Here is a 20,046-nt window from a genome sequence, read left to right as displayed (position 1 = left end):
GCTAAACTTTCCAGCTTGCAAGATGTACCTTCTGGGTGAAGATCTATTACTCATCTTGTTAATTACTCATGGGACTTGGGTTTGTGTGGGAAAAGAGAGAAAGTGGAGAGAATTTGAGTCAGAGCCAGGTAGAAGACAGCTTCTTCCCTTGTTTCCTTGAGCTCCCTGAGGGCAGGGAACAGGCTCTTTCATCTCTATGTCCCACGTGTCTAGCATATATTAAGAGCTCAATAAATCGGCACTTACTGAATTGAACTAAATTATTTGTTGAATTTCCATGTGGGTAAAGACACAAAATCTGTTCCTGTTGTGGAACAAGGGACCATAAAGGTGCAGGGTGGAGTAGGAGAAGTATGAATTTGGAAATCCAAAGGAAAGAAACAGAATCTCTCCCAAATAACCACTACTAGAAGTGGCAGTGCAATGGATGGGGGAAAAAGGAAGAGGGCAAAAGGAGGTGGGAGGGAGAGTAAAAGTGAGGGTCTGTGTTGCCTTCGAACCTGTGCATACTTCTTCCTCAGAAAGTTCTTAAGGCTTTGGTCATCCTTCAAAACCTAGCTCAAGTGCCATGTCCTCTGAAGTCTATCCTGAGAACCCTCCCTATGCCACACCTCAGTGGTTCTTTACATTCCAATTTCTCATTTATATAAAGTATTAGTTGTGTGATCAGTTGCAAATATGAAGACTTCTCTGCTAGACTGGGAGCTCTTTGGGGGCAAGTACTGTTCCTTTTTTTTTTATCCTCAGTGCCTGATATATAGTGAGGGCTGAGGGCAGGGAGTTTTGTCAGTTGCCCTAAAATTGATAGGCAGGCCTGGCGTCAGGGCTCCTGGCAGCAGGCAGTAGGCAATGATCCAGGCTGACAACTGTTTGATGCCTTGGGGGCTTGACAGCCTTACCCCTTCGGGGTAGTTCCAGAGACCTACCTGTAGAGACTGGGGCTCAGAGAGAGATAAGACTCCAGTTTAAGAAATAATGAAATAGTGAACAGAATGAAAAGCAAGATATCAGCTTGCTCTTGAGGACCAAAGAACAAAACAGTGGCTTCACCTATTGAAACTGGTGTTTGAGGAAACGACTTGTTCATTGGGAAGAATGCCAAGGGCCCACATGCTAGAGCCCAGGTTCCTGGGTCACCAGAATCCCCAGCCAGGACTTGATCTAGCTGCCCTGAATGGTTCTTCAAGTTCTGTGAGAAAGCTGGCCGCTTGGTCTCTGAGCTGTGGATGGGGACTGGCCTACTTCCCGGGAGGGAGCAGGTCATAACAGATGGGCTCCACATGTAACTGAGAGCTTTCTACTTCATAGGGTAGTTTATTTTACTGTAGGGTGGTTGTGATTAATTTAAAAAGTTATTTTTATTGATCTGAAATCCGTCTGTCTTATAACTAGCACCCATGGGTTCTAGTTCAGCCTTTAGTAGTCTGTTAAATTGCAAAATCTCTCCTGTGCATAAATATAAGACGCAAGCAAGCAAATATCCCCATGAACTATTGTGAGCCTTCTTGGCTACTTCAATCATTTCCCCATCCCCAACCATTCTTCATAAAATATGTTTTCAAGTCCTTTCATAATTTTGCTCACTCTTCTGTGGACTTGCTCTAAGTCATTTTGTCCCCCTGAAATATAGTACCACAGTGGTACTCAGCTAGGCACAGAGGATACTGTTAAATCCTTACCTGGGGACTGTAGTTGAGTTGATGCAGACTGAGGAGGTCATAGTAAGAAAAACCTGAATCCCTGTTATTTTTTCCATTTTTCTTAAAACTCATACTGTTACTAGATGAGGCTCTTCATTTTATACTTAATGATATTGATTTCTTTTAAGTGCAAGATTTACGAACCCTTCTTAGTAAATTTCATTTTTAAAAACAATATCTATCTCTTGAGACAGTTCTGAGTCTTAATTCACTCAGGCAGTACTAGCTATACCTCTCTATTTTGTAGTATTGACACATATTGAGGGACACTACTTTTATGTCTTTGTTTTCATTATTTAAAAAAACATTGAATGGGGTGGAGCCAAGCAGAGTGTGACTCTAGTTGGTCATGCAGTGATGGGTTTACCTAGTCATCCTATCATCCTGTGCACATTTTCTGTCTGGTTGATGTGGACATTATGACACTTTGTCAAGTACTTTACTGGTCAAGGTGTATGATATGCCATTCTTTCCTCCTGTTCTTACTCTTGGTCACCCTATCAAAATAGAAAATTTGCTTAGTTTAGCATGACTTCGTTGTCAGTGACTCTATGATGGGATAGTTCTATCCTGTTAGTTATTCTAGACTAGAGGCAGATAACATCAAGATCTATCTATCTATCTATCTATCTATCTATCTATCTATCTATCTATCTATCTATCTGCCTGCCTTGGTGTTATCCTCCTCTAGTCCTGCCCTTATATATATACAATATCCTTTGGGTAAGACAATATTTTCTCTTTTCTGATTCTGTGTTTCCCAAGGTCTGTTCTATTCTGGTCTCTGTTGTGTTGTATGGCCAAGAAGAGCAAGTCCCACATAGATAACTTGGGCTGGCAAATTGATTATTGCAAAGGCATTAAGTAGCAGTTGAGCTTTAAAATCTGTTTCTTGGGAACTTGGTGGGTATGCATCTATTCCTTGGAGTCTGACTGAGGAAGTGATAAAATCAAATGTGCAATACATGTCCTGCAAATCTTGGAATGTAAAGATTCTATCAAAGGGTAGCTGTCCAGGGAATTTCAGCCTAAAGCAGCCAACCAGAGTTTAGATGAGAGAGGAATGACTGTCACGTTGTAGGTTAGGGATCGGGAAAACTATCTGGAGGGGTGAGAAAAAACTGTCTGGAGGTGTGCCAGTCCTGGCACAGTTAATTTGCTAGCTTGCTCTACCATAGGCAGACAGTCTATGAAGTCCATGAGGCTTTTAATAAAGGTCAAGGCTGGTTGTAAAACCCAAAACTTTTTCTATTCATGATGCCTCTAACTTGTTGCTTAGGTCATGTGGTAGTAGGCTACGCCAGTGTGTTTACTTTTGAGCTTCAACTTTGGTCACCCTGGCAGCTCCTTACTGCTGCCTGGTTCCAATGTCTTAGTTGGCCAAGGCATTGAGAAGGTTTTTCTAGCTCATCAGTCACAAGTCTGCCTGGATTAGGACCAGTGGTATTTCTTCATTTCATGGTTGGGCAGGAAAGGGAATGAGATCTCTTGTTCCTTTCTTAACTTTTGCCACTTTCCTAGTGTCTTGCCAGAGAGCAGGGCCTGGTACCTATTTGCTTGAGAGGACATTGGCCCTTGTCCCCTTCCTAGACTTGGGAAATCTCCTTTCTCACTTGTCTGCTTCTCATAGGCACCTTCCTCCTCCCCCTACACAGCTGGAATGATCAACTAAATGGATTTTAGATAGCTTCAGTTTTCTGCCACGACAGTGTCAGAAAGCTGAAGCAAGGATTTAAAAGCCTAAGGTTACCTGGTTGAAATTGGAGGGAGAGAGAGAAATATAAAAAGTCACAACACAAAATTAATATCTAAAAACAAATTCTCCTGGTACAAGTATGTTCCTAATGCAACAGCTTGTCCCTGTACCTTCCCCTCTTCTTCTCTGCACCCTTGATACGCATTTCCTCTGTCCATCTCCTCTTCCCTGGTCCCTGATGGCTTGTGGCTTTGTCCTTCTGGTTAACACATCCAAAATGGCTACAGTAGGGAAAATGCCACTTACCAGCCTCCCACCTCCCATGCTTGTTGTTCAAATGATTACCTCACTTCTACCTTGGCGAGATGCTACTTTTAGATTGAGAGAACCTCAGAAAGCTCTAGCTCTAAATGTGTACAGAATCTATTATAAGCTTTTAATGTATGCCTCTGCGCCAGAGGCAGTGTTTGTATAGAGAGTTTGGTTGTTTCTTTAGAACGTTAGTCTTCCTCTTGTTGCGATGACTGATGTGGCTTCTGCTATAGCTCAGGGGCAGGGAATTGGGACAGAAAATCTATTGCCCAAACTCCTGCCACCCCATGGCTATTGTTAAGAAAATTCAGTGGTAGTTGCCTCGATCCAATTTCAGTGAACCTCCAGGTATTGCTTCTTTGAGATGACACGTTGTCTTTGGGCTGTTCCTGTCATTATTCTAACAGGATTTAACTCGTGCACTTGTGTTGAGGGATAATGGTAAGATCAAGTGTGACTTGCCGTGTGATCTCGTTCTCTCTCTACTCTCACCATTCAGGCTGATTTGCTGGGGACACGAAATGCCACTGGGTGGCTGATAGTCCCTCTGTTGCAAGGCTTCCTTGCTAGACTTGAAGCCTCTTAGAGGTTGTGAATAGGATACAAGTTCAGCAACCTGTAGGTTGTGACACAGCCTGTGTTTAATACATCTAAAAATCTGCTGATCTATACATAAAGCAGAAGGATTGCAACTATTATCTTGTAGCTGTAACTTTCCTTTTCAATTGGTTCGTGTTTTGTTTTTTTCTGGTGTTGCTGTAGTTGAATCAGAATCTGTACTGCCAAGAAACTCCACTTAAATTTCCCATTTCCTAAGTGTTACCTCTTATTCCTCTAGACTGTGAATTCTTTGAAGGTAAGGGCTGTGCCTTGTTCGTTTCTGTAATCCCAGTGCCTAACTGGGTGCCTTCAGTGTTGATAGTGTGGAGAGTTGGATGTTCATTAAATATGTGAGGATGCCTTCCCCTCCTTGGCTTCGTTGACACTACCCTCCTCTGGTTTTCTTTCCGTCTCATGAGTCACTTTTCAGTGGCCTCTGCTGGACTAGCCTAGGTCCTGGGGCAATTGCTTTTCCATACTCCTCTAATCTCAGCCAGATTCATGATTTTAGATTATATGCTAATGGCTCTCCACTCCCATGAGAGCCAGATTGAGCTTTTAACTGCTTGTGTCCTGTCTAAAACAGAATCCTTGATTTCCTTTTCTAGTTCAACTCCCAAATTGTTTCTGCAGCAGTCTCCCCCACTTTAATAATAGGACCTACATTTGTTCACAGCCCTCAAATTGGGATCACCCTTGATTTATCTACTGTCTTTACATCTCCACATCCAATTTGTCATCAAGTCCTGTTAGTGCTACCTGCAAAATACATTCTAGACTTGTCTATGTGTTCGTTAGCACTACCGTTACTACCTGTAAGCAAGGCCACCATCATCGTGAGCCTAGACATTGGATGCCTCCTAAATGCTTTTGCTCTTGCTCTATACTATAGCAGAGGGGTCTTTTAAAAATGTAAATCGAATTCCATTGGGTTCCTTGCTTAAAAGCCTTCTCTGATTGTCCTTTACACCTAGACTCACGTGTGTCCTTACATGTATCCTACATTCATAGGCATCTCTCTGCACTCATACATCCCCCCTTTGCACCAATTGGAAAGAACCTAAATCTCCACTACAAATGTTATTTAAATCTTGTTTTGTATGTTCTGTATGAGGAAGGAAGGAAAGCAAGCATTTATCAACTATTCTTTATGTGTTAAGTAATGTTTTCATATAATGTCACATAAAGGATATAGAACCTTTAGTAAAATAATTATAAAGAAATCTGTTAATTTCATATGTCTGATGGCATCACTGGGCAATAGGCTGTCATGGAAGTAGACAGGTATTGCATTCAAATAATGTTGCCTCTAGTTCTAACTTTAAGAAGTCAAATAGCAGATGAAAAGGGGCTGAACGTTCTAGTCAGTAAAAAAGACTTAATGCCAGAAATCTGATCCTAGTCAAGGGGGATGCAAGATCCTAGGTGATAAGCAGTAATGCAAAAATCACGAACAATCCTAGGAAATCCTAGCCTATAGACAGTATTTGTTAAATATGTATTAACTGAGTGCCCACACATTGGGGATATCTGTGAATAAGACACAAAGGTCCTTGTCCTTATGGGATTTGCTTCCAGGGAAGGGTCCTTCTTAGGGGAATGCTCAGCTTTGAATACGAGAAATCTGCAAAAGATGTAAGCCTTGTCCTTTTAAGATTGATCCTAGAGAGAGAAGCCGAACTTCCTTCAGATTAGACATAGGTCCTGCCTTCAAGGGGCTTACAGTCTGGAAGAAAGGAAAGAAAAGTAACAACTGTACTTACTGCAAGTCAAAAGTGCTAAAAGATTCTGGAAATGGCAAAGTAATTCAGGGGAAGAAGAGGTTCTTCAGATTTGGAGTGGAGGTCTTAGGAGATCCGGGAAAATGTTATGAACAAGGTGGATCTCAGTCATACATCAGGGATAACATTTGGGTGTGGAGATTGACTGGGGGTGGAGAGGCCCTACCTGGCATAGTGCTGGTTATACAGGCAAAGACTGAGCCAGGAGAGGGATTGTCTCTAGAGAGCCAAACAGAGGCAAACTGGCAGATAAACCCTCATGGCGGGAGGGGTTGGATACAGATGGCTCTGCACCCTTGCTGCTCTGTTTTGCTTTGTGAAGGGAAAGAATGCAGGAGCTCTGAAAATACAGATTTAAAGGCAAATTAAGGCTTTCCTTCTGATTGACTTAAACAGGCCCAGCAGGGGAATCTAAACAGTTGGTGGGAGAAAGACAGAGAGAGAGAGAGAGAGAGAGAGAGAGAGAGAATAATTGCCACTAAGCGAGAAGGAGTTGATGGGTGCCTTAAGCAAGGTTAAGGTCAAGGTCAATTCAATGGCACAAGGCTCTGATGCCAAATCAAAATTCAGGGTGAGCTGATGAAAAGTTTAGGATTCTTGAGAAAGGTCTTGAATTTTGTAACCTAGGCATTTATTCTTTTACAAACATGTGCTTAATGAAGTGTTAAAAATAAGGGTTATGTGACATTTGCGTTTGCATTTAACTGTTTTAATAAGAGTATGTCTTTTTTACAAACAAGAATCAGAAAGTTCACAGATAAAAGGAAAGGGCTGAAGTAGGAAATCAGGAACTGAAACAACAGGGAAAAACCCCACAATGGATCATGTAGCCATGGAATTTTTTCTTCATCAGGTGTCGGTATCTAAACATCAACATTTTCATTGTTGTTTTGTTTAAAAGTGAATGGAGAATTAAAAAAGGAAAGTTAACAGAGCACGTTACTCAGTGGCCCAAAGTCCCATTGTCTTCATCTCTGAGATGGTGGTAATAATTTACTGCTCTAGCCAGGATGTTTGGAGGATAGATAGGATAATGTCTATCACCATCCCAGCATGCTGTCCAGCATAAAGCTGGGGCTTAAGAAACACTACTTTCTTTCCTTTCCTGTTTGCCTTTCCGTACACAAGCAGGAACACATTTTCCCTTCTGTTCTGACACCTGTTGCTTTTCCCTTTTACTATCTCTGTTTTCTCTCTGATGTTCCATCCACTAAAACTGTTCAGTCAGTCTATCCCAGTCCTTCCCCTCTTCCCTTTCTTCTTTACTTCTTTTCATTGTAAAGTTTCACCTGGAGACCCCCTTCCGGAGTGATCTAAAGCTAGTTCTCTGCTGAAGCTATTGCTGTCATTTCCTAGCTGTCCCACTGGGGTGGACCTCCTTCCAGGTCATGGTGACCATTTCTTAGGGATTACCGGGGTCACCCTTCCAAACTTGGAAATCCATGAGTGTGATGCTTCCAGTCTTAGAAATGCCACATCTGAGTTTGTTGAGTGTTTAATGTTTGGCTGGAAAGGAGTGTTCAACAGGCTCATAGAACTTGCCTGCAGGGACACCACCAGGCAGAAGCTATTGGCTTTTGGGACCTGGACAATAGCTTCCCTACTGCTCTTCCTCCCTCTACCTCATTTTCTAACCTGCCAGCCCCATCACCAGCGTGGGAACTCCACAGACATCCTGTCTTTCCTAGTTAGAGCCTCATTAGCATTCAAGTAGACACATAAGTATTCTTGCTCAATTTCATGCTTAGTGAGCTTATTGAGGGCCCAGTAGCTGCCTATTGTTTAAGGTGGGTTGTGGATTTCTCATCAATAGCCATTCAGTGCTGCCTCCTTACCTTTAGGGATGAGACAGCAGCAAAGGGGAAATTATTGTTATCATCACTATTATAGGAACAACTACCATTTGTGCCAGGCACATGGCATAAATTATTTAACATAATCTTTAAAAATTTGCAAAAACCCTATAAGTGAGATATCTTCTTCCCATTTTCCAGATGAGGAAACAGAGGCTCAGGTAAGTCAGTGACATAGCTTGGACTCTAAGTCTTTGTCTTTAGTACTCATATTCTTTCAAGTCCTGCTACCTATTCATCTAGTAGTGAGGGGTGGGCTAGCTCTGTGTGCACATAACCTCACCAATGTCTAAGCATGCAATTTGAAGCCCCATTGCCCCACACTGGCACTTCTGCCTTAAAGCACAGCAAGTACTGTGTGTGTTTTCAGAATGAATACTACCTGGCAGATTGGAGGGACACCACATGGTCTTGCTTGAGCCCTTTCGACTTATATATATAAGTTCCTTTCCTCCTTTCCATTTTCCTCTCCCAGTAGCCAAAGCACCTTTGCATCCAAGATCTCACTGGATTTTCAAAATAACCCTCTCCTGTAGGCAGGGCTGAGATTATTATTTTGAGTGTACAGATGAGGAATTTAAGGCTCAGCTAACCTGAACGAGCTGCCCCAATTTCTACTACAGCATATTGGGTGCAGTGCCTCTACTGGGTGGCCAAGCCAAGTTATTCATCATCCAAGGGGCTGACTTGCTTGGGGTTATCAGCTGGGGGCCAGCTCTCTATAGGAGAGGTTGCTTTTTAATCAGCTGGCTCGCCTCCCTCTGGCAATGGGGGCCCTAATGATGGGGACTTGGGGAGACTTCTAGACCAGTTTCCTCTCTTGTCTTCCCTCTTTTGGTAACCCTCTATATTTCTTTTGAGTTTAAAGGTGATGATGTGCATTTCTTATTTCAGTCTGATTCTTGCTATTGGGTGACAGTCTTTCTCTCTATTGCTAGGGTGAGAGTTATGTTGCAAGAGAGAATTGTAGACAGGATCTCTTGTGGGAATTCCAGTGTAAGAGGAGAATCAGGGTTCTGCTGGGGTGTGTTATGTAGCTTGATTGGGGCCTGGAGCAGAAGCTATGGGAGATAAGATGGACTTCCTTTTTTTTTTTTTTTGTGGCCAGTTGTACAGTCAGGAGTGGTAGATGGCGTGGGATGGGGTGGGCAGGTGGTTCTCAAGTTTGGTTGAAGGAACAGGGTAGATTTGAGAAAACAGACTTTCAGGAACCCAGTCAGGGGTGGGAGAAGAAAGAGGAGGTGGGACCTGGGTCTGAAACGAGCTGAACTCTAAAGCTGGACACAGGCAGCTGGGATGGAAGGATCTAAGATCAAACAATGCATATCAAAAGACTAGAACAATGTTTTGATAACGGTAGCTACTAGAGAAAAGCTGATTATCTTTTTGGTGGGGCAAAACCATAGCCAATTCAAAATGGACTTTATAATTTTCACCCAGAATAGAATTTGGGCTACAGTTGCTACTTATACCTAAACTAAGGTAGATAGGACCACTCAAAGACACCCTGTATCTGACTGTGGAGTCAGCCAGAGCTGGGTTTGGACACTGAGTGCCACCACGTGACACTGAGCAAAGTCATTTCACTTCTCCGAGCCTGATTCTTCATTTGAAAAATGGAGAGAATGCTTTTCTGTCGAGGTTAGAGCTAGATATCTGTAAGATAAAGCTTTAGACACTCAGTAATGGAGCTATAAGACAGTTAAGCTGCGTTCAAATGTACTGGCCTAAGTTGCTTTTGAAGCTAGAGGAAGACTGATTTATGAGAGGCCATAACCCTGATCCCAAAGACCTGTGTTGAAGGCTGCCTCCCTAACTAGATATTCTGGGTTGAGAATACCACGGGGTCTTAGTGTCAAAGGTCCTTATATTCAGGTCTTGTGTGTCCAGTCTTAAAGGGGTGACAGCAGTCATCTGATGGGGTTCTTATTTATCCGGCCCTTCAAGCTGGGAAGAGGCTTTTTGGATCCAGAGAAACTGGTCAGATAGGGCAGGCCTGACCTACTCTGGCTTCCAAAGCATCAGAACCCCGCTGCAAAAACTCCTTGGAGGACATACCCTAGATATTATGTCTCCAGGCCTCGGAGCCATCCATCCTGAAATGCTTAGTCCTTAGGCCTTATTGCTACCTTCCAGATTTCCCACACACTTCCTTGTTCTCAAGACACTCTTCTTCATCTGAGTCCAGTTGCCTGAAGCTAGTCTGCTGGATTACTCCTCTCGTCTTTCTTTAATTTACTGTGATTAGGATTAGAGAATTCCAACTGTGTCTTCCCCAGAAGGCAATTGTCTTGGCCCTTGGGGGATCCCACTCCCCTTTTTATGCTTTCCTGAGACAAAGCAGCAGAGGTGAGGAATCTGGACATTTGGGGGCCCTTTTTGATAGTGTCACGGGGCTTCTCTTCTGGTCCTTTTTCCAGATTCTTTCCCAAATCCATTCCAGGCATCCTCTCCCTACCCAGAGGATCTCTACTTGGGTCTTTGTACCTTTGCCCCACCTGCCTCTGGAAATGTTGCTGTAGCTTCCTTAGACCTCAGCCTCCATCTGCTGCCATGCGTTCTCCACATTGCTGTCAGAAGTTGTTGATTCAAGCAGTTACCTAATCATCAAATGCCCTTTGAGCATAGGCTGCGCTGCCGCCCCTGCTTTCCTGGAGCTTACAGTCTAATTAATTACCCTCCCTATTTCTGACTCAGTGTTTCTTTTTGTTCCCAGCTAAATATCAGCAAGGACTGCTAAACATGGCCAGATGCCTGGAGGGTGCTCCTGAGCCTCTCTTGAAAGGAATGTAGTAGGAGAAACCAGTGCTAGACCCCTTTCCACTTCCAGCCTGAGTCTCTTTGCACGACCAGCTGCACCCCCATGCTCTTAGACTTTGCTTCGTCTCTCCTGATCCCCAGATATTTGCTTCTGGAACTCACCTCCTGGGCCTGGCCCAGAATCTGATTGGGGCTTCCTTCAGCTCTTTCTTGGCTTCCCAGGCACTGGTGGGCTAACAGCCCCTCCCACTTTGGCCCCATTTCCCTGCCCAGCCTTCTCACTCCTCATTCCCCTTTTTGGATCGTTTGCTCTTCAGTCACTTTCTCTTGTATCTTAGGGCTTCTGCCTGGAATGCCCTTTCCCCTGCTTGCCCACCTGGAAAACTGCTGCCCATCGTTCCAGGCCCAGCTCAAATGCTACCTCCTCTAGAAGCCCTCCTGGGCCCTCTCAGGCAGAGTCAAGTGCTTCTTCTCCTGAGCCGCCACTGCAGTTTCTGTTTACTCCCATCCCTGCCATTAATTACCTGAGAAGCGTGCTTTCCACTAGATTATAAGCTCCCTGAGAATAGGAACTGTGCTGCTCTTTGTCTTTTTAAAGCCCCATTCAGGACCTGGAACATAGGTGCTTGCTACACACGTATGGAATGAAGAAAGTTTTAGCTGCGCTCTTCTTCTCCAGCTCAGACCTGGAAATAGGAGGTGGGGGTGGAGATGTGGGAGGTGAGGTGGGGGAGAGCAGAGCGTAAAATGAAAATAAATAGTTAATTCCTCCTAATAATGCCTGATTTCCTGATTTGATATTCTGCATTAATTATAATTACTTGCTAGGAGATAGGGTATTAATCACTGTGTGTGTGGCACTTCTGCAGAGTTGCGACACAATGCTTGGCTGCCTGGCAGCTGCGATGCTCAGAGACTCCGATGAAGATGAGCAAGACTTGGTCAGAATTCCTGGGCAGTCACCTTACGCCCCTCTGGGGTGGTAAGTGTCAGTAAATCCAGTCAGGCAGATTGTTCTCTGGATCAAGGGACCCAGAACGTGCTAAGAAAGGCATTGTGCCGAATGCACGGGTGTGGTTAGAGGAAAGTAAGGGTGTTTGGCCCTGTGGGGGACGTGCGAGTTCAAGTCAAAACAAGAACTGGTCATAGCCTCCTACTGTGTCTAGTGTCATGGTAGGCTCTGGGAGTAATGAGGTTGGCAAGGAATGGGCTTCTGACCCCAGATAGCTTGCAGTCTCTCCAGGGAGCTGACTTACATATATTTTGAATAATAAGGACTCATCCAGTTAGAAAGCTTTTGACTGGGCTTCAGGAGGACAGATTCATGTTCTGACTTCCCTAATTGGTGGTGTGACTTTCGCAAGCCCTTCTTTGGGGGAGAGTGAGCTAGATCCCAAAAACATGAGGGCTGCAGTGCTCTCTTTGGGATTCTTTCTGTCCCTCTTCTAAGCCTATTAAAATACTACCCATTCTTGAAGGTCAATTTCAACACCTTGGTCTCTATGAGCCTTTCATGATTCTTCCTGATGGGTAGGGGTGCTCCTTCTTATGAGCTAAACCCATCAGTAGTTGGTGTCTGCATCTCTCACTGGGGCTTGCTATCACTGTGGGACTTTGCACTCTCTGTCCCCCCATGGAATGCTTTCCCCCAGATAACCCCACACAGCTGGCCGTTCACTTCTGCAGGTATCCGTAAATGACACCTCTCTGGAGATGTCTTTCCCAACCGTTCTGTGTAAAACAATTATTCTCTCTCCCCATGCTTGCTTTATGTTTTTATAGCATTTATCACTGCTTGGTATTTTGCATATTCTCCCATTTATTGTCTGTGTTAAGGATGAGAGCAGGTACCTCATTTTGTCCAGTTACATTCCTATGGCGTGACATATAAGGAAACACTCAATGAACAATTGTTGAATGAATGAATGAATGAGTGAATAAGTGGGCTGTCCTCATATAACCGGTGTGTCCTTCAGGAGACCTTTGTTCCCATTAAAGGGGAGCAGGTGGCTAAATAGCTCTGAGGCCTGAGAAGATCTGATATTTCATGTGATTTAAAGGAGAACTGCCTACTTTGATCCAACATTTGTTACAGGCCAGGAATTGTTTCAGGGCTTTCATTTATCCCATTTAGCTCTTACAAAACACTTTGAGGTATCAGTGACTCCCATTTATAGGTGGCAAAACTCCGAGGCTCAGAGACCTTAAGTAATATGCTCAAGATCACATAGCTCAGAAGCAACGGAATGAGGATTGGAGCCTCAGTCTGTCCTGCTCTAAAGCATTTCTAGTTTTCCATTCTGCTGCCTCCCTGGATGAGGAGAGAAGAAGCTGGAACTCTCTGAGCCCTGGGATGGGCTGGATATTCTGCCACCAGATTCGACATCCTGCCTGGCTGCCCTGTCCAGGGAGCTGCCCATCCCTAGCTTCTATCTTGCCAATCTCCCACTTCTTTATCCTCCTAGTTAATTTTCCTTGCCTCTAAGCCTGGAGCTCCTTTAAACTCCTTGTTTTCTAGGATAGACATTTCAAATTCCAGCCAACCCACTGGAGTTCCATAAGCCTGTTCTTCTCAGTCATTAATCTTAAACTCCTGGCTGGCTGGGTGGCCAAGAGAGATGGCAGGACCTGAGTTAAACTTTTATCTCTCAGCAATCCCCAATGCAGTCCCTCCTTGCAGCTGAGACAGCCAGGTGGGAGGGGGTCCCTGGAGAACTTCAACCAGCCTGCCCACTGAGGTGAAGTTTCAGGAAGTTCATGACGTTTGCAGCAGGGAGGAGACTGGCCTCTCCTCTTCCTGTATGGAAACAGATTTGAAAAGGCCAGGTGGGAAGCCGTGTAGCAGGGACTCTGTCCTGGTGAGAGTCCTTGTTTCCCCCTTTTCTTCCTTTTCACCCAATAAAACCCTGTCTTACTCATCACTCAAATTGTCTGCAAACCTAAATTTTCATGGCTGTGGGACAAAGAACCCCGTCTTTAGCTGAACTAAGGAAAAGTTCTGCAACAGCCATGTGAAGTCAGATTGGGAAATATGAAAGTGTCTCCTCATTATCTTATTGTTCCGGTTGAACTAAGGAGCAATGACATCCCTCCTCTGGGGCCTAATGAGAATGAAACACAGGGATGGCTGAGAGGAGCCACATGTCCTTATGGGGAGAGAGGAATGGAAGAGGCGGTGGTGGAAAGACACTATGTGTCCTTGTCCCCTCTGGAACATCTCTCATCTCTTGGGACTACTCCTGGGCTGGGACTCTAGGTGGTCTTCTGAGCAAAAGCATGTAAGGGGCAGGCAATATCTTTCTGGCAGTTGTACCATTTGGGTTCTGAATTTGAGGATTTTCTAGGACCCTCAGTGGAGCATGTGTGGTCCAATATCCTGTTCAGCCAGTGAAGAGAGTCTGAGTTAAGCTCTCTTATTCCTTTGGGAAGGACGATGGGCTTCAAAGGGGAGTCATGGGAGAGGAAAAGACCCTCTGGTTGGCCCTGGTGTCTCAGGGATGGGGAGAGGTCCTGGGTTGTGTGTGTGCGGAGGTGTCTTATGGGCTACACTGGCTACTTGAGTCTCATCCTGGGCTCTGGGGCATCTTTGAACTTTCTGTGGCACTCCTTATGACACACCTGTGCAGAGTGATGGTCTCACCCATCTCCCCTGTGCATTTCTGCAGGACCATGGATCCTGTGGAAGCTGGAGGGCATTTGGGAGAAGACCTGGGGTTGCTGTGTTTGATTCTGGATCTTTGGAAGCAGAACTGGGGGCAGGTGCAGGCAAAGGGGGCTGACCTCAATGGCTGCTGAAGTCTCTTCCAGTTCTAACATGTTGTGGTTTTTCTCAGAAGAGGCTGGCGATAAGGGCAATGTCTGCACACTCTAGCTCTTCAGTCCTTACTTTGCAAAGACACACACTGGACTGTGTAATAAGGAGCCAGCCCCATAGGGCCCTAGGAATTGAAAGGGGAGAGTGGTGGAGGCTAGAATGGGCAGCAGTAGCACTGAGAGGCAGATCTACCAGGTGAAGTCTCAGGCATGGCCGGCAGGGACCTGGAGAAGTGAGCTGGAGAAGGTGGGGCACCTGCAAGCCACCCCAGAGGAGCTGGGTAGAAGCAGAAAGAAGCCAGACCCAAGGCCCTGGGGGTGGCAAGCTGTGGGAAGTGGAGGGAGGGAGAGGTGCAGGTGGGAGCTTTCCGGACTAGGGCAAACTGCCTTAGGTGCCAGGCATCCTTCCCTTTTGCAGCCTGAAGGGGAGGAACTAGAGATGGGGTGACTGGGCTGGGAGATTCACGTGTGTGTGTGCGTGCATGCGTGTCCGTGTGTGTGTGTGCATGAAGAGCCCAGGCTGCTCCTCAGGGACACACGCTGCTAAGCTGTCCTAGCATGTGGCCAAGCGGAGTAGGTGCCAGCACAAAGGCTGTTGAAGTGGGGTGCCAAAGTCTCCTCCCTTTGTTCTCTCTCTTCACTTCTGCTCCAGCCTTTGAATGGAGCCTGGACCACCGTTTCCTTGCCCTGCCATGGTTTGGCACAGACCCTGCTTCCCAGTGGCAGGGTTCTGAGGTGACACCAATCTAGTCCCTCCAGGGCTCAGTGGGACAAAGAAGGTCTCACCCTTCCTCATCGCAGGTACCCTGCCTGCCTCCCTTTTTCTTCTCTGTCTTCTAACAGTCACTCCTCCCTACTTTTCTTCTTTGTTTCCTTTTATATGATCTTAGATTATGAAAGAAATATGAGTTCATTATAGAAAACTTGGAAATGTATACACAGAAATAAATACATAAGAGAAGATCTCAGAATGTCACTGTGCTTTGATGTGGCCTCCACTATTCTTCCCTTTCAATTTCTAGGGGTCCCCTGGGCCTGCCTTCTTATCACGCTGAGTTTGACCACTGTTTTTTTTTCCTGGTTTGGTGCAGCCTGCATATACTGTAGGTATAGTATTGCAGCAAGTTTTTTCTCTTTATGGCTTATGCATTTCTCTGTGTCATGAAAATTCTTCAAGAAATTTAATATATTAATAAAAATCTATCCCAAGGAGCTGTCCTTATTCATCTGACTATTCAACTTTTACCAGACATTTTGGTCAGTTTTTTACCATTACAAACTAGACTCAGCCTCTTTGTGCATAACACTTTGTCTGTGTTTCAGATGATTACATTTTCCAGTTGTTTGTACATAAGGGGTGGAGCCTAATCCAGAGACCCACCTGCAACGCTAGCTCTGGACAAAACTGCAAAAAGTCCTCACCCTTCATTCTTTTCTGAAGTGTCCAGTGCTTTCCTGTGGCCTATCCTTCCTTTCACAAGTAGCCAGGGAGACACTTTTGAGAGATTTCTCTATTCCTTGCCTCCCCGCCCCCCAAAAAACAATGCAACAAAACCAAAGGCCACTCCAGCAAGGAGACCGCCTCTTTGACTTTTGCATGAGGTACCTTCTCTTGGCCACCTTCTGTTAAACGTGGATTTGTTAATATGCCCTGTGACCCATCCATTTTAGGCCCTGCCTGGGCAAAACCTCTCAGCTCAAGCTGAGAAGATGGATCACAGCCAAGGGCACAATCTTCATACTCCATCCTAGGCTGCCATGGGAGCCTCTTTCCCAGTTCTCCCAAGAAGCAGCTGCTGAGGAAGCAAAGCCTCACACTGGCCTCAAAGCAGACTAAAAATCAGCAGAGGCCAGTTGTCTACTAGGCAGGGAGAGCCACATTTTTAGAAAGAGGTTGAGGTCCAGATCTAAAGGGGAGAGAAGGACACAGCATTGTTGGGAAGATTCTACATGGGCCCAGGAGCCCATGGTGTAGAGAAACACCCCAATCCAGGTTCTTCAGGGAAATCAACCTTTGCTGTTTGCTAACTTTTGTGTTGGACCAGAGCACACCACTGTGTTTATTCTCCTGTTCCATATTGTTTATCAAGCATGGATGGTATGACTACCACATATCCAGGACCCAGGCTGGTGATGAGCAGGTTCAGGAAAAGAGCATGACATGGGGTCTCTTCAAGAAGCACATTGTCTCACTTAGAGGCTGGCGGGCACACAGAATCCTAGGACAGGGGCATGAGAGCTCAGGAAGCAGGCAGTTCACTTCAGCCCGGGGAAATTCTTCACTTGAAAATAGTGTAATTCCAGTGGGGCCTGGAAGGCAGGGCAAGGTTTTGAGTTGAAGAGATATGAGAGTCGGCCTTCTGAGCAGCATGGGCAGGGATGGAGAAGTGGTGTCAGAGGGGAGGAGGCCCCGTGGCTTTCGGGATACTTTGTCCCAGGGTGTGGTTTGCAGTTGCTTCGAGGAGGCATTTTGCCTTCCTACAGGGATCTGAAGGTGATCTGGAATCCTAAGGGTGAGGAAGGAAGATGACAGAAATGTGGAAAATGGATGTCAGCCTTAGTGAGAAATTCCCCAGACAGCTGGCAGTTGGTCCCGGGCCACCTGAGAGCTGCTCATGAAGTGCTTTCCCAGGCTGGGCCCCGTGTGACATTCAGCTCTGAATCTCCTCGGGGGAGGTGGCTTCATCCACAGTGTGAAATGAGGCCATGCTCCCAAGAGCACTGAATCGACTTCTGAACATGGAGGTAATGTGCTGACTTTGGTGCTAGACTCTCTCCCAAGCACTTCCCACGCATTGCCCTGAATCCCCCGGGTAGCCCAGCACAGCCCCATTTCACACGCTGGCAGGCGGGGGCCTGACAGTGTCTGCCACAGTGGCAGTTGAGCTTCGGTGGCTTTCCTAAGCTCAGACACCAGCCACTAGATGATGTTGCTCCTAGGCCCAGAAGCCAGCCAGATGTGAGGAAATGGAGGCTCAGAGAGGCTGGGAGAATGAATAGGACTCAAACTGAAGTCCAGTTCTTCTCTACACCCAGCACAGAAGGCAGCAGTGGTGGTGGTGGTGGGGTTGTCGTGAAGAGATGAACAGGATGCCAGGAAGAAAGATGGAGTGAAGAAAGAAGGGGACACCAAAGATCTTTTTTCCCAACCTGGCCATGTTGCCCAGGGCTAGGCCTTAGGTACCCATTCTTGAAATGTACAAATCTATGTGTGGTCTCTTGTCAAATATAGGCCATTTGACTTGAGACCTCAAAGACTTTACGCTTCTGGTGGTAGCTTACACGAAAATAGTGTTGCATGGCTCCGCTCCCCTGTGAGGTAGGCAGGATGGGCTGAAGGACACTGTCAGAGAGGGTATGTCTTCCTTGAGTGACAGGAGAACAGATTGTGGTGGAGAGTGTCGACTCACCGACTTGGCCTGTGTTCGAATTCTGTCTCTGCCACCTGCTAGTTCTGTGGCCTTAGGCAAATTATTTGCCTTTCCTGTGCCCGTTTCCTCATCCTCATTATTAGATGGGATAATCATCACGCCTTCCTTATGGGATGTGTTGCAGATTAAATGAGTTCAGGTGCTAGACGTTGCCTGCCTCAGAGTCACTGTGATGTGAGCATTTGCTCTGATTGCCTCACTCGGGCCCAGTACTTGCTTCTCCTGGAAAATGCCCCCTGGCTTCTCCCAGGGTAGCATCCGCTAAAATGTGAAGTTGAGTCCTGACCACCACCATCAGGGCAACTTCTCCGGGCTTTGGGGCTCTGTCCTCGTGGCTGGAGCTCTTTCCTTCTGGTCTTCTCACCCTGCAGCCCTTAGTCCTGGAGTAATAACTTAGAGAATTCCAGTACTCTAGCATTAGATCCCTCTTCAAAAGGAAATCCAAATTTTCCCTGGGCTCACCTGGTTCAAATTCTTTCTTCTTCAGAGACTGAGGTGTGGGATATGATGAGGTTTTTTTCTTCAAATAGCCTGATCAATCCTTTAGTCTTTAATTCATAGTACCCCCGACCCCTTTTTCCTTTTTCTCTTTTTTTCTTCCTTTCTGCCTTTGTTACATGCCCAGACACACCACAGTACCAGGCATTATCAGTACCAGTTGACATTCCTTTCCTTATTTGGAAAGAAGACCAGCTCTCTAGCTCATTGCAGACACCCCTTCCCCTTTCCCCTCTCTCCCTTATGTGCCCACCTTATCTAAAAAAAAAAAAAGCTGAAATGTTTAGCCAACCGGGATTAGTTCAGATTGTGCGACCTGACCCTGGCCAACGGGGAAAGGGTACAGGGGCAGGACTTGCGTCAGGATTAAAGGCTCTCGTGCCCCTTTGTTCAGGTGTGCTCTCATGGCGACTGGCCAAGGAGAAGCACCCTCTGCACAGAAGCAAAATTGCTTTGCTAAGCATCCTTTGTTTGAGTGTTCAATTTCCTTAGGATTTTGAACGTTATTCCCAACAGAGGGGCGCAAGAGTTCCCCAGAGCCACGTGGTCCACCTGGAGCTGGTCCTCACCTGGGCACTTGTATTTCCAGTCCTGTGATGGTGCCCAGCACACCACTGACACTTGACTTGAGAGGTCTGTGAGGGCCCTGTGGGTCTGAAGCCCCAGGGGATGGGAGGAAAGTCTGTCTGGACAGCCAGCAGAGGTTTAGTTAGGTGGGATATAAAGTGTGTGACTGAAAACGCTTCTCACATTGGTTTTAGAAAACACCCTAGCAGGCTGGTGGGCAGTGGAAAGAGTAGGAGGAAAAGAATCCCTTTTTTTCTTTGCCTTGGGGAAGAAGAAGCTGTTTAAATTCAGTGGAAGAAGAGCTATGAGGCCTTAGGTGGAGGGAGAGGCTGACTGAAGATGAGAGTCAGTTCCAGCCCTGTTGGGTTGATGGGACGGGGAAGGAAGGCAGCAATAAGAGAACTGCTAGCTGCTGGTGATGGGCAGGAAGGTGGTGCCTTTGCTGTCATAACTTGGTTAGAGAAAGGCAAGTATCAGGGACTTGCAATGATGGTTAGCAGATGCAGAATCTCAGTCCTGTCCCCTGCCTCAATCCCCTGCCATCTATACCCTGGGCTGCTTATGGGACATTGTCTATCCCCTTCCTGCAGAAGGGCCTAGCTTTAGAGTCCACTGGAGCTCTGGGCCAGACCTGGGGAGGCTCTTGGAGTCAGCACACCCCAGAGATTCTTATTTCATAGGTGTGGGGTGGAGCTGAGGAACCTGAATCTTTAACAAGCTCACTAGGTATTTCAGCTGCCGGTCATCCATGCAGCACATTTGAGAAGCCTGATTCTGGGATCTGTGGAGTCAACAGACTTTTTTGAGGAGGGAGGCAGGCAGCTGCTTGGGAGGGCTGGCTATTTATTCCACAGGTCGTTGACGACCTAGCACTTGCTGAGTGGGCCCTGCTGAGTGAGCCCTGCTCACGCCCAGTGCAGGGCTCTATAGGTGCTTCAGAGGAGCTCTGCCCGCAAGGAGCTTACACATAAGCTGGGAGATGGCCTAGCAACGGATCCCTTGGATGTAACTCGGAGTGAAATGAGTGCTGTCAGA

General features: G+C 46.1%; 4 annotated features.

The window, feature by feature from the left end:
- Window positions 14,410-14,909: an enhancer, noted in NCBI's record as "H3K4me1 hESC enhancer chr11:45720483-45720982 (GRCh37/hg19 assembly coordinates)". NCBI's record gives its function as "activates a minimal SCP1, AML or CMV promoter by ChIP-STARR-seq in primed H9 embryonic stem cells {active_cell/tissue: H9 hESC(primed)}" and the evidence as "EXISTENCE:reporter gene assay evidence [ECO:0000049][PMID:30033119]".
- Window positions 14,910-15,411: an enhancer, noted in NCBI's record as "H3K4me1 hESC enhancer chr11:45719981-45720482 (GRCh37/hg19 assembly coordinates)". NCBI's record gives its function as "activates a minimal SCP1, AML or CMV promoter by ChIP-STARR-seq in primed H9 embryonic stem cells {active_cell/tissue: H9 hESC(primed)}" and the evidence as "EXISTENCE:reporter gene assay evidence [ECO:0000049][PMID:30033119]".
- Window positions 15,109-15,301: a silencer, noted in NCBI's record as "fragment chr11:45720091-45720283 (GRCh37/hg19 assembly coordinates)". NCBI's record gives its function as "represses an EF-1alpha promoter that drives an FKBP-Casp9 reporter gene in an ReSE screen in HepG2 liver carcinoma cells {active_cell/tissue: HepG2}" and the evidence as "EXISTENCE:reporter gene assay evidence [ECO:0000049][PMID:32094911]".
- Window positions 17,596-18,452: an enhancer, noted in NCBI's record as "H3K27ac-H3K4me1 hESC enhancer chr11:45716940-45717796 (GRCh37/hg19 assembly coordinates)". NCBI's record gives its function as "activates a minimal SCP1, AML or CMV promoter by ChIP-STARR-seq in primed H9 embryonic stem cells {active_cell/tissue: H9 hESC(primed)}" and the evidence as "EXISTENCE:reporter gene assay evidence [ECO:0000049][PMID:30033119]".

This window comes from Homo sapiens, chromosome 11 (assembly GCF_000001405.40).
Source record: "Homo sapiens chromosome 11, GRCh38.p14 Primary Assembly".
Lineage (NCBI taxonomy): Eukaryota > Metazoa > Chordata > Mammalia > Primates > Hominidae > Homo > Homo sapiens.
This window is presented reverse-complemented; position numbering and strand designations above follow the sequence as displayed.